The sequence below is a fragment of the Homo sapiens genome, chromosome 2 (genome assembly GCF_000001405.40).
Source record: "Homo sapiens chromosome 2, GRCh38.p14 Primary Assembly".
In the NCBI taxonomy this organism is placed as follows: domain Eukaryota; kingdom Metazoa; phylum Chordata; class Mammalia; order Primates; family Hominidae; genus Homo; species Homo sapiens.
Genome location: NC_000002.12, coordinates 1480076 through 1493231, shown reverse-complemented (window position 1 = coordinate 1493231; position 13156 = coordinate 1480076). Strand labels below are relative to the sequence as shown.

General features: G+C 51.5%; 1 protein-coding gene and 1 long non-coding RNA gene across 23 annotated transcripts in view, besides 2 other annotated features; one reads left to right on the top strand and one right to left on the bottom strand.

Annotated features, from left to right (window-relative positions):
* Positions 1 to 8330, top strand: part of LALTOP (lung cancer associated lncRNA targeting TOP2A) — a 140518-nt gene extending 132188 nt beyond the window's left edge. For both annotated transcript variants that reach the window (NR_198948.1, NR_198949.1), the window contains exon 7: positions 7041 to 8330. This is a non-coding gene — a long non-coding RNA (lung cancer associated lncRNA targeting TOP2A). The remainder of the gene's footprint in view (positions 1 to 7040) is intronic.
* The window catches only part of TPO (thyroid peroxidase), a 169627-nt gene that overhangs the window by 50442 nt on the left and 106029 nt on the right, over positions 1 to 13156 (bottom strand). For 17 of the 21 annotated variants that reach the window (XM_047445652.1, XM_047445655.1, XM_047445654.1 and 14 more), the window contains 2 exons: positions 8378 to 8636; positions 5241 to 5411 (listed from right to left, as the gene is read on the bottom strand). In XM_047445652.1, the coding sequence (XP_047301608.1) occupies positions 5241 to 5411; positions 8378 to 8636 (430 nt within the window). The remainder of the gene's footprint in view (positions 1 to 5240; positions 5412 to 8377; positions 8637 to 13156) is intronic. The other 4 variants (XM_024453091.2, XM_024453092.2, NM_175719.4 and 1 more) reach the window with 1 other exon arrangement.
* Positions 3530 to 4087: an enhancer, noted in NCBI's record as "H3K27ac-H3K4me1 hESC enhancer chr2:1492917-1493474 (GRCh37/hg19 assembly coordinates)". NCBI's record gives its function as "activates a minimal SCP1, AML or CMV promoter by ChIP-STARR-seq in naive H9 embryonic stem cells {active_cell/tissue: H9 hESC(naive)}" and the evidence as "EXISTENCE:reporter gene assay evidence [ECO:0000049][PMID:30033119]".
* Positions 4088 to 4645: an enhancer, noted in NCBI's record as "H3K27ac-H3K4me1 hESC enhancer chr2:1492359-1492916 (GRCh37/hg19 assembly coordinates)". NCBI's record gives its function as "activates a minimal SCP1, AML or CMV promoter by ChIP-STARR-seq in naive H9 embryonic stem cells {active_cell/tissue: H9 hESC(naive)}" and the evidence as "EXISTENCE:reporter gene assay evidence [ECO:0000049][PMID:30033119]".

Genomic DNA, 13156 nt, shown 5'->3' with positions numbered 1-13156 from the left:
AGAAGCCAGCACCCCCCCCCCCACCCACTCACACACACACACACAAATATCTTTATCTGTCTGGCCACTCATCTCCATATTGAAGACTGGAGATCTTTTCTTCCTGGGAGCCCTGGTGAATCCCTGGCCTCTCTTCTCACTCCTCCTCCTGCTCACTGACCCACGCCTCAGCTGCTCCCTGCCCAGGCCCCCGTCCATGGTCTGACTCTGTGGCTGCGCCTTTGCCTGACACTCGTGCCCCTCCCTGTGCCCCACTCCTCACATCTGCCTTCGTCCCTCATCCACTCCTCTTGGTTCAGCTGTCACCTCCTCCAGAAGTGCTCCCTCCTCAAGGATGGGCGACCCTCACTCCCACGGGTTCTGATCAGAGCGCCGCCCAGGGCCTCTGCTACTGTCTCTACTCATCCACCCGCCCTGTGTGGTGCTTTAGCTAAGACTGTCTGGTTCTACTCTCAGCGCCCTGCCCACCACAGGCTCCCAGCAGAAGTCCTGGACAAGCACACGCACAGCAACATGTGAGCACTGGGCTGGTTCCCCCCAGGGACAGTGAGGCTTTCATGGGACAGAAGGTTGGGCCTCTTGGTGTCTCATGTTTAGACCAAACAGAACTGGGAGAAATAGCCAGGCATCCTCCAGTTGGTCTGGGAAGGGGATGCCCATGTGGTAAACAGACTCATGGAGCAAAGGGGTGGGAACAACTTGGAAGAAGAGGGATTGGAAGAATGGACAAAGTGAAAGAGGAAGGCATGAGTGAGATTCAAAATCTGCGCTTCTAGAGGCCAGGTGCGGTGGCTCATGCCTGTAATCCCAGCACTTTTGGAGGCCGAGGCGGGCGGATTGCCTGAGGTCAGGAGTTTAAGACCAGCCTGGCCAACATGGTGAAACTCCATCTCTACTAAAAATACAAAAATTAGCTGGGCGTGATGGCGGGTGCCTGTTATCCCAGCTACTCGGGAGGCTGGGGCAGGAGAATTGCTTGAACCTGGGAGACGGAGGTTGCCGTGAGCCGAGATCACCCCATTGCTCTCCAGCCTGGGTGACAAGAGTGAGACTTCGTCTCAAAAAAACAAAAAACAAAAAAAATCCTGAGCTTTTAGAAAACTGCTGTCAGGTGCCATTGAGTCCATTTCTTAGCAGGTGGCTCCCTGGTTCACCCTCAGGAGGAACAAGTGTGTGTCTGACTCTTGTGCTCCTAGAGTCACCTGCCTTGGCTGGCCCCGTAGCCCTGGTGCTTCCACATCTGGCAAGGGTTCCCCCGAGCCCCCGTGAGAAGCTGCGCTGCCTCAGCCTGACTCCTGCTGTCCACAGTGGGCTCTGCCGCCCTGTGATCTGCAGAAACCACTCTCGTTTTCTGTCTCCAGATGGGCCATCCCAGCCCTCTCATCAAAGCCACCGGGAAGTGCTTTGCCCCGTCAAGAGGCTCTGTGTCTCTCCATCTCAGCACCTCCAACAAAATTTCATCTTTATCACCCAATCTACTGTAGCCTAGACCATCCCAAACATACCCCACAAATTTCTCAGCTCCAGGAATAGGTAACCTGTAGACACTTGGTTTATATAGAAAACAGACGCCCATTGCTTGCCACAGGGCTTGGGGGACACAGCAGTTATTTCATTAAATATTTACTAAAAGAATGCAGTTATTTTCAGACTAGTGAGAAACCAAAATAATGAGCAAATTAAAGTTCTCAAATGAGGAGAGAAAGTTTCTGTATAGTCAATTTAGACCATTGTCAAACTGTTTTAAGTAGTCCAAAATAATTAAAACATTTCTAATACCTGTGAGAGATGGAAATCTTAATTTCAAAAAGAAAAAACAACGAAGTTAGAAGGGTAATTTCCTTTCTTATTGCTCTAAGAGGAAACACATTTGCATCTTTTTCCAACTCTAGAGGGAAAATATGCAAGGCCTGTGCAGGAGGTAAAGACATGGAGGCTGAAGCTCATCACAGCTTCAGAGGCCGCAGAGCTGGGAAGAAAGAACATCACTTTAGATGTCCCTGCCTGTGGGAGACACTGCAGAAACGGGAATGCAAAAAAAAGTGTTTTTTTGGTTTTTTTTTTGACTGAGTCTCGCTCTGTCACCCAGGCTGGAGTGCAGAGGCATGATCTCAGCTCACTGCAACTTCTGCCTCCTGGGTTCAAGCAATTCTCCTGCCTCAGCCTCTCAAGTAGCTGGGATTACAGGTGTCTGCCACCACGCCCAGCTGATTTTTTATATTTTTAGTAGAGACAGGGTTTCACCATCTGGCCAGGCTGGTCTTGAACTCCTGAACTCGTGATCTGCCCGCCTCGGCCTCCCAAAGTGCAGGGATTACAGGCGTGAGCCACTGTGCCCAGCAGCAAAAAAGTGTTTTGGGGAAGGTTGTACATTTTATATTCCCCGTAAAGTACAACAAAAGATTTCAGGGCGTAGTGGAAATCATCATCACAGCTCAGCTTGCTGAGACATGAGCGTTTCTCTTTTATCTGATTTATCCTCAGATCGAACTGATCAGATCTAATGAAGCCTCTGCCAGGTTTGTGGCCTTTCTGGTGCATCGATGCCTCCAGTTGCTGGAATTCAGACCTGGGGAAGTTGCCTAAACTGTCTGTGCTTCAGTCTCTCGATCCATCTTTTAGAAAGTGATCGCAGTCCGGCCTTCTACGGTGGCTGGGGTATAGAGTGCTAACACATGCAGTGGGCTTCGAACTGCAGGCCGCAGGGACCCATGTGTGGCAGCTCTTACACTGCTGTGTCGTGACTCCCCCTGTGTGGGACCCTCGTGGCGGCTCTTACACTGCTGTGTCGTGACTCCCCCTGTGTGGGACCCTCGTGGCGGCTCTTACACTGCTGTGTCGTGACTCCCCCTGTGTGGGACCCACGTGGCGGCTCTTACACTGCTGTGTCGTGACTCCCCCTGTGTGGGACCCTCGTGGCGGCTCTTACACTGCTGTGTCGTGACTCCCCCTGTGTGGGACCCACGTGGCAGCTCTTACACTGCTGTGTCGTGACTCCCCCTGTGTGGGACCCTCGTGGCGGCTCTTACACTGCTGTGTCGTGACTCCCCCTGTGTGGGACCCACGTGGCGGCTCTTACACTGCTGTGTCGTGACTCCCCCTGTGTGGGACCCTCGTGGCGGCTCTTACACTGCTGTGTCGTGACTCCCCCTGTGTGGGACCCTCGTGGCGGCTCTTACACTGCTGTGTCGCGACTCCCCCTGTGTGGGACCCTCGTGGCGGCTCTTACACTGCTGTGTCGTGACTCCCCCTGTGTGGGACCCACGTGGCGGCTCTTACACTGCTCTGTCGTGACTCCTCCTGTGTGCTCACACCAAGCACTCTCGTGTTTGCGTCCCCAACGCTCAAACGTGAGGTTGACTCTACTGTCCTGGGCGCTCAGGGGAGGAACTGGGAACCCCACAGGTTAATTAAGAGATTCATCCAAAATTGAACTCCTCAGGTCCAATCCCAGGTCTTCTGAACACAAGTCGGGCTGTGCGCTGGTCTTACTCCTGTTCCCTTCCCGCTAGGCCCTTCTGTCCTTGTCAGCGTTTATTTGCCCAAACATTCATTCATTCATTCATTCATTCATTCATTCAGTGAGGGTTCCCTAAGTGCCTGTTCTGTGCCAGTCGACGGTTCTGGGTGCTAGTGATCACAGCCCTGAAACACAGCCCTTCCTCCTGGGCTTACGATCTATGGGGGGACCCACAGGCCAGTGGGAACATGGGTTTTTGCCTTTGGCCATATTTCAGTTGGTGAAAAGTGAAGCAGAGGAAGGTGGGGGTTGTGAGAGCCGGGAGGGGGTCCCCCACTCTGTGGCACAGTTAGCTTGGGGAAGTCAGCAGTGGGAACATGAGGAGATCAAGCTGTGGGGCCTGAGCAGGGCCAGCAGCAAAGGGGGTCCCAGCCAGAGGCAAGGTGTGTGCTGGGCATGTGTGGGTGTGTGCTGGGCATGTGTGGGTGTGTGCTGGGCATGTGTGGGTGTGTGCTGGGTATGTGCTAGGCATGTGCTGGGCATGTGCAGGCGTGTGCTGGGCATGTGCTGGGCATGTGATGGGTATGTGCAGGCGTGTGCAGGTGTGTGCTGGGTATGTGCTGGGCATGTGCTGGTCATGTGTGGGCATGTGCTGGTCATGTGTAGGTGTGTGCAGGCATGTGCAGGTATGTGCTGGGCATGTGCCGGGCATGTGCGGGTGTGTGCTGGGTATGTGCCGGGCATGTGAAGGCATGTGTAGGCTGTGCTCCCTGAGCTCTGGCAACAAGAAAGCAGCTGTGTTTGGGTGCAGGGAGTGAGGGGGACAGTGTGCGTTATCCTGACACACATAGGGGCCCCTTCTGCATCCTCCCAACTCACATTTAGTCCCCAGATATTCACAGCCTGTGTGGCTGCTGATCCCAGCCCTTCCAGATGCCACTGGTGAGGAAGACAGGGATGGGGGAAGGGCCAGGGGACAGAGGAAGGCCCAGGGACGGGGCAGGGCAGGACTTGCCAGCACTGTCCATCTCACATGTCACCCACACACAACAGGAGGGCACCTCCCAAGCTCCCAGGGTACGTGGAGAGAACAGAGCTGCACACAGAATAGGAGGTGTCAGGGGATCGGGCCTAGACAGGTGCTGCAGGTTGACCAGACAACCGAACCACCTAGGAGCCCAGAGGAGGGAAGGCTGAGGTGGGCCTGAGGTCAGGGAGTTGGAAACTGGGCAGGTCAGGGAGGAGGCTGCCGGGTGGGGCCTGGGAAAGGCAGGAGCCGGGTGGGGTGTGGGGAGCACAGGGGGCTGCTGGCCTGAGAGGAGCAGCCACTCCTGCCAGGGGCCAGCTTGGACCAGTTAGTTAACAGCAGTCCTGATGTGACGGAATGATCTTTGCAGGCTCTGGGACCTTGTGGTGGGGAGGAGAAGGGGAGGGGGGCACTCTAGCCATCCCAGGAGCTTCCCGGGATACCAGATACAGACCTGCCATTGTCTGCCCGCGCACTCCCTCCTCCCTCTACTAGAAGCGGCTGTTTCTCAAGGTCCCAGCTCATACGTTCCTGGGAGGTTCAGAACCACCCTCTTCGTGCCATTTCTATCTCTAAGAAAAGCTGGAAGTGGCCACTTTAGCTGAATGAACTGGAGCCCTTTAAGAGCCGTTGCTTAGAAGGCCTCAGATTTGTGATTGTTTTCCTCTAAATCAGTCTCTCTAGCAGCAGGTTGCTAGCTCGGCAAATCCCGCAGCAGCTGCATGAGGTGTGCAAGGGAAGGAACTGGCAGACCTGGCAGCCCGTGGTCCCGGCCCCTCTGCAGGTTGATGGACGCCAGATCCAAGGTGCTGGAATTGGACAGCACAAAGAGCCTTTCCGTCAGCTCCTCGTTCATCAGCTGATCCTGCACCTGCAGTTTGGCTGGTCTTGCAAGAAGGCCTCGTATTAGTGGGTCCAAACCACCTGGAAAATACCATGCACAAGGCAAGGACAGCTCTTGGCTCAGTTCTAGAGAAACAACAATATCTCAATTTTTTTTTTTTTTGAGACGGAGTCTCATTCTTTCTGTTGCCCAGGCTGGAGTGCAGTGGCGATCTCAGCTCACTGCAAGCTCTGCCTCCCGGGTTCACGCCATGCTCCTGCCTCAGCCTCCCGAGTAATTGGGACTACAGGCGCCCGCTACCATGCTTGGCTAATTTCTTTTTGCATTTTTAGTAGAGATGGGGTTTCACCGTGTTAGCCAGGATGGTCTCAATCTCCTGACCTGGTGATCTGCCTGCCTCGGCCTCCCAAAGTGCTGGGATTACAGGCGTGAGCCACCGCGCCCAGCCCAATAGCTCAATCTTATCCTCAGCAAACCTTCGTGTAAGTTCATGAATTCAGCTTGTGTGATTCCAGAGTTTCCTGAATGTCCTCAGGACACTGCCCTTGTTGGCAGGTGAACCACTGGGCTGGCACTGACAATGTGGCTCATGGGGGATGGACCCTCAGAAAGAAAGGGGCCTGGAGAAGGAGCCCACCAGTTTTTAAAGCTTTTTGTTTTATTTCTCAGCAACAGAAAGATTACAAAAAAAAGAAGCGTTTGCTGAATTCTAACATCCAGAACAGTGAAAGGAAGACTCAGCTTAGCTGAGGGAGTGGCCAGGGTGCCTGGGGACCACTGTTCCTGTCATCTCCAAAGGCCCCGCATGGAAAGCAGGCCCCACGGCCTGTCAGGGTCGGTCTATCTCAGTGGCGTGTGAACCCACCACTGCATGCCACCAGAGTCTTTAAAGGATCGGTTTGGCCTTAGGATGCCCAAAAGGAAGACTTAGAAATCACGACATGCATCGTCCTGTGTGGGATGACCTGGGTGTCTTCAAATGCCGGGCACCTGCTGAGGGCCAGGCTGGCCCTTGCCCCTCTGGTGCACTGTGCATGACTCAGCTCTCATCTAAGCAGGTATCGCCGGACGCACTGCAGCACCCCTGCCCTCCCCACTCCCCACTACGCCTGGAGCCGGTCAACTTTTGAGACAGGTTAGAAGCTCCCAGAAGGACTTACAGACTACTGGGAAAGGAATATAAAGAAAAAATGGGGAAGCTTAAAAATAACCCTTCCAAAAAACTAATTGGGGGAATAGGATCATTTTCTTCCAAATAATTAACTTCCAAAGGTAACCCATCATTAACATTCTAAAGATGATGGTGCTGATCATAACTATAGAACAGTTTAGCCTTTTATTTTTATTTTATTTTATTTTATTTTCAAATGGAGTTTCACTCTGTTGCCCAGTCTGGAATGCAATGGTGAGATCTCGGCTCACCTGCACCCTCTGCCTCCCAGGTTCAAGCGATTCTCCTGCCACAGCCTCCTGAGTAGCTGACTACAGGCATCTGCCACCACACACGGCTAATGTTTTTTGTTTGTTTATTTTGTATTTTTAGTAGAGATGGGGTTTCACCATGTTGGCCAGGCTGGTCTCAAACTCCCGACCTCAAGTGATCCGCCTGCCTCAGCCTCCCAAAGTGCTGGGATTACAGGTGTAAGCCACCGTGCCTGAGCCCAGTTTAGCCTTTTAAAATGCTTTAAACACATTTATTTTCCCCACAGATATTAAAAACCTTGTGTAGGATCAGCAAGTGTGCCCATACGGAAGGTCTGCACGGCTGCGATGAGTCATAAGAAAGAAGTGAGACCTGATAAACATCGATGCGAAAATCCTTATGCAAAAATTAATTCAAGATGGATTAAAGACTTAAATGTTAGACCTAAAACCGTAAAAACCCTAGAAGAAAACTTAGGCAATACCATTCAGGACATAGGCATGGGCAAGGACTTCATGACTAAAACACCAAAAGCAATGGCAACAAAAGCCAAAATTGACAAATGAGATCTAATTAAAGAGTTTCTGCACAGCAATAGAAACCACTATCAGAGTGAACAAGCAACCTACAAAATGGGAGAAAATTTTTGCAATCTACCCATCTGACAAAGGGCTAATATCCAGAATCTACAAAAAATGCAAACCAATTTACAAGGAAAAAACAAACAACCCCATCAAAAAGTGGGCGAAGGATATGAACAGACACTTCCCAAAGAAGACATTTATGCAGCCAACAGACACATGAAAAAATGTTCATCATCACTGGCCATCAGAGAAATGCAAATCAAAACCACAATGAGATACCATCTCACACCAGTTAGAATGGCGATCATTAAAAAGTCAGGAAAACAATAGATGCTGGAGAGGATGTGGAGAAAAGGAATGCTTTTACACTGTTGGTGGGACTGTAAAGTAGTTCAACCATTGTGGAAGACAGTGTGGCGATTCCTCAAGCATCTAGAACTAGAAATACCATTTGACCCAGCGATCCAATTACTTGGCATATACCCAAGGGACTATAAATCATGCTGCTATAAAGACACATGCACACGTATGTTTATTGCAGCACTATTTAAAATAGCAAAGACTTGGAACCAACCCAAATGTCCATCAGTGCTAGACTGGATTAAGAAAATGTGGCACATATACACCAAGGAATACTATGCAGCCATAAAAAAACGATGAGTTCATGTCCTTTTCAGGGACATGGATGCAGCTGGAAACCATCATTCTGAGCAAACTATCGCAAGGACAGAAAACCAAACACCGCATGTTCTCACTCATAGGTGGGAATTGAACAATGAGAACACATGGACACAGGGCGGGGATCATCATATCCCGTCTGTCGTGGGGTGGGGGTCAGGGGGAGGGATAGCATTAGGAGAAATACCTAATGTAAATTACGAGTTAATGGGTACAGCAAACCAACATGGCACATGTATACCCTACGTAACAAACCTGCACGTTGTGCACATGTACCCTAGAACTTAAAATATAATTTAAAAAAATTAAAAAAAGAAGGAAGAGTTCATGGGGACCAGCTGCAGGGACCGCACTCACTCACCTCCACGGAGTAATGTCCATGGGCTGAAGAAAGCCTGGTGCAGCCACAGCCCGGGCAGGTCGGGGTGCTCCTGGAAGCTGGCGTCCAGCCTCCTCACCAGCGGGTGGATCGTGGCATGGCCGAAGCGGAAGGCGGCTGTGGAGAACACGTTGGACACAGTGGGGTTGGCGGTGGAGTCATAGCCTTCATAGGGACCCACGTACTGCTGGAAGGCCTCGGGTCCCAGGATCCTGGGGATGTAATCCCTCAGGGTGATGATCTGTGCAGATAGGAAAAGCATCTCAGTGAGGCCCAGGATACCAGAGGAGGGTCGCCTCGAGCGGCAGTGTGGAAGAGCATCTTCCTTGACAGCCCCAGGGAACTGGACCCTTCTCGTCTTGTAATAAGGGCCTCAGCTGAACTTCCCAGAAATGCCTTCTTGCTGATTTTTTCATGGATATTCAGGAGGTGCGTTTATAGGGCTGACTAGAGAGCCTCCTTCCCAGGATGGTGATGGGGCTGGCAGTGGCAAGAGACAGCACCTCTGTCGAGCCAACAATGGCCACCGGGCCAGGCTGGGCAGCTAGACTCCTGGCTGGATGATTGACAGTGGGGAGCAGTTCCTTTTTCTACAAAGCAACAATAATACCTAATTCCCAGAGCCTTTGTGAGGATTAAATCAAAGCATGTTGTATGGCAGAGAGCTCTGTCGATGGAAAATTACAGTTGCAATCACAGGGCCTGGAAATTACGATTTGATACATGGTCCCAGGAGAATTATGTACCAAGATTCTACTTTCAGGTTTAACAGTGTTTCTTTCAGACAGAAAAATCAGTGTCAAGTTGTTTTGGTATTTAAGGGGAATATTTTGGTCAATAAACTGCATCCAAATGAAGCATAATAGGAATAATTCTAGAATATGAATCTTCTCTTTTAGCTTACCAGTTTAGGAAGGCAAGTGGATTGTTTAAAAATAACCAATATTATTTACACACTTGTAATATGTTTCTTCCATGTGCCAGAATGCATTTCCTAAGCACGTAATTTGGCCCTTCAGGGAGACCAGGGAGAGCCGTGAGTCTTGTGTGGCCTGGGCCTTCACTGAAGGTGCACCTGCCCTCGCTGTCCCGCTCCACCTCGGAGACCTGGACAGACAAGGAGGAAAAGGCAGCATCCAAATGTTTCCCAGTGGGGTTTCCGTCCCTGTGCTAGTTCATCCATTGGTGCCAAGCACTGTGCTATGGGTCAGCATCCCAGAGAGCAGTTGCACGACTTCATCGTGCAAACAGCCTCTCCACCTCAGGTGCAATTTATGTGGCAACGTTTCTGAACCACACAGGTGTCCAAGGGGCTCCTCCTAACCGCGTGAGAAGGTCCGTGTGCTTCCCACATTCAGAACTCAGGCAGCACCTTCTGTTCCCTGGAACATTCTTTGGTTTCTTCTCACTACAATAGAAAGGAAAAGGCCTCTCTCTTTTTAGCCCAGGGACTGAGACAATTTCAAATTCAAGTGCAAGCTATTTTAAGGAAGACACCTCTTCCCCTTCTTGCCTGCCTGAAGTTTGACTTGTGAGCCAGGGGATGCAGCAAGCACAGGCAGAGAACTGAGGCCTGAGCCTCAGGTTCAGCAGCTCCACCTGTGCCCGGCTAGCTGTTAACAGAGAGGAAACCTGCGCCCTTCATCAGAGCCTCACAGACACTGTACTTCCTCAGTGTCTGATCTTGCCAGAGCTCTGAACAGTGTGTCTCTCCTCTTCCCCACTGCCTCCTCATCTGATCTGAAACATCCCTGGTAAGTGATTGGCTCAGATACTGCAGCCTCCCCTGGGAGCCGTCGAGGTTGGGCAGAAGCACCCATTGTTCTGACCAATGGGGCCTTAAAACTTGAATCTTGAGTCAGGCGCAGTGGCTTGCGCCTGTAATCCCAGCACTTTGGGAGGCCAAAGTGGGAGGATTGCTTGAGCCCAAGATCAAGACCAGCCTGGGCAACACAGTCAGACTCTGTTTCTACAAAAAAATTTAAAAAATTAAAAATTAGCCAGGTGTGGTGGTGTACACCTGTAGTCCCAGCTACTTGGGTGGCTGAGGTGGAGGATTGCTTGAGCCCAGGAGGTTGAGGCTGCAGTGAGCTATGATTGTACCACCGCACTTCCGCCTAGGTGATAGAGGAGATGCTTTCTCAAAAAGAGAAAAAGAAAACACTTGAACCTTGTAAACAGCTCTCTGGAATTTTCATGGCAATTCTTCTGGAAATGCTTCTGGTATTTCTTTACCTGGTCGCATGGGGGAAATGGTTACTCTGAACTATTGGACCTGGGCAGACGCCATACTGTGAGACCGGGGCATCGTCGCTGTCAGGTGCCCCTCCTGCTCACCTCCCAGGTGGGCCATGTCTTCTTCCTCTGCTGGCGGTGCCATGTAGAGGCCTCATCTTCCCAGGCTGCTTCAAGCTGCTCCTCCACGTCTGCTCTCACCCCAGCCTCCTGGTTCCCCACAGCCTCTGCCAAAGCCACCAGGTGCTGACTTGTGGCCACTCTCCATTTCTTTGCCTTCACAACTCACCAGTGGGAATGACTGAAAGGTCCACACTTGGGAAAATGATGGGCGTGAAGGTGACGGGAAGCCAGGACCCCAGCACACGGGGAGACCAGGACGAAGAGACCTGGAGATGCGATCCTTGTCACCGACGGTGGGAAACAGCCGCGTAGCCCCTGGCACAGGCTCCTCTGAACTTTCTGACTCTCGACTGCTTTCAAAGTCACCTACCCTGCTCTACGCAGAACATCACTCAGCATTTTCTCAAACATGCCCTATTAGTCCAATAAGAGGCTCCCATATGCTTGCTGAGGGTGCTCCAGGGAGGAGGCTGAGCAGGCACCCAGCTCCCCAAGGACGTGACACAGCCAGGCCTGGCTTGTGCTCCTCCGCAGGAAGCCCTGCAGCATGGCGCACCTGGGCTTGGTCCAGCCTTGAGGTAGGGGCCTGGCTGTCCCTGCAGGGCAGGGAACAGCCTCCACAGCTACCCCTGGAGAGGAACGACCAGGAGACTTTGTCAGCCAACATTGGAGGCCACTGGGGGATGGGGCCCTGCAGATAAAGGGGCCTGGGTGGGGCAGCAACAGCACCCACTGCAGGAACGGCCCTTTCTCTTTCTTTCCAGCCTTGGAAGCATGACTTTATCCATCTGCTCCTTTGCTCTGGAAGAGCAACCAATCTGAAAAAGTACTCAGCTACAGCAAAGGTCAGCAGCCGAGTGGCCCAGGGATGCAGCCCCTGCCCCGAGACATGGATCTGCCTGCCCGGGATGGGGATGTCCAGGGAGATCTGCAGTCCCTCCGGGGTCTGGTTCTACCTCCACACACATCCAAAGCAAAGCTTCTGTGGGTCCCTGGATATCTGGGGAAATCAAGGCTGTGCTCCAGAAATAGGTCTGCTATCTGATGGCCGGGGCATAGAAAACATCCACGCCAGATATTTGGGATGTCTTTATCTTTTCACCCTGTGGAACCCAAACTCCATGCTGCCTGGATGGCACACCCAGACTCCCCGAGGATGGCTACCTCCTCTCTGCCTCCCTCACACCTGTGCTGGGAAGGGTTTCCTTTCTCATTCTTTTCTTGTCTGTAGAACACAAAAGTTATCACCAAAGTGAGCAACTGATTGTGAGTTCTTGTCTTATGACACACCTAAAGCAGCTAGGGTTTTCTGGGATTGAAGAGCAAGAGCTTCAGTTCCTCCTGGTGGGAAGCAGGGCTTATGGATCCAGGGTCCTGTGGGATCTCAAGCCAGCAAGAGCAACTTTATCAGCCCTTCCTACGTGCGAGTCCCCCGAGAGATGCCGGATCCCAGGAACCAGCACAGAGGGCGGCCCTGCAGATCCCTCCCAAACATGCCCACAGCAGAAGTCCTGTGGCCCAGGGCTGAGGGAGGGGATAGCTCTCAGCTTTCGACAAAAGAAATTAGAGGAGCCAAGATCCTCAGAGTGGGGGCGGCTGTGGTTGGGCCCTGACAAATTAGAGTGGGTATGGTGAGGACAGACGCAGCAGCAGGGACGTGGTGTGGACGGATGCAGCAGGAGGAAGGTGGTGTGGACGGATGCAGGAGGAGGGAGGTGGTGTGGACGGATGCAGCAGGAGAAACATGGTTTGGACGGATGAAGGAGGAGGGAGGTGGTGTGGACAGATGGAGGAGAAAGCTGTGACTCCCGGCTCTGAGATGACCTTTCCTGTCTCTTGCTGATGTGTGCATTAGCCTGGCCCTGGCTGGCTCGTGTGTGTGTGTGTGTGTGTGTGTGTGTGTGTGTGTGTGTGTGTGTAGGGGGTTTGAGGGGTGATAGAGGGGGGGATGCTATTTCTCTTTCATAAGGTTGCCCTGGCATCTCTTTTCATTATCTAATGTTTTTCAGAAGAAGAGAGATTCAGATTACAAAGTTACCAAACTACGAGTCGGTAGAACCAGGGAGAGAAAAATGAGGCTTCCAGGCCCAGGCCACCGTGGATCTTTCAAATACGGCTAGAAGTCGCAGCAGTGGCTCTATCGACACGTTAAACACAACTTATTATTTTAATGTATCAAAGGTTTTTGCAAAAAGCACCAAAGAGGACCTATTAACTGAAAAAAATACAAAAGGAAATTCAAAAGTGAAATGTAAAACCAAGAAGAAAAGAATGTTCACAGTTTTTTAAAAAGCAGAACACACAGAAAATGAATTGAGGAAGGTAAATATGAAACAGAGAAGAACACTTTTCCTATTGGTTGCTGTTGTTATTATTTCATTAATAATAAGAAAAGGCAGCTGG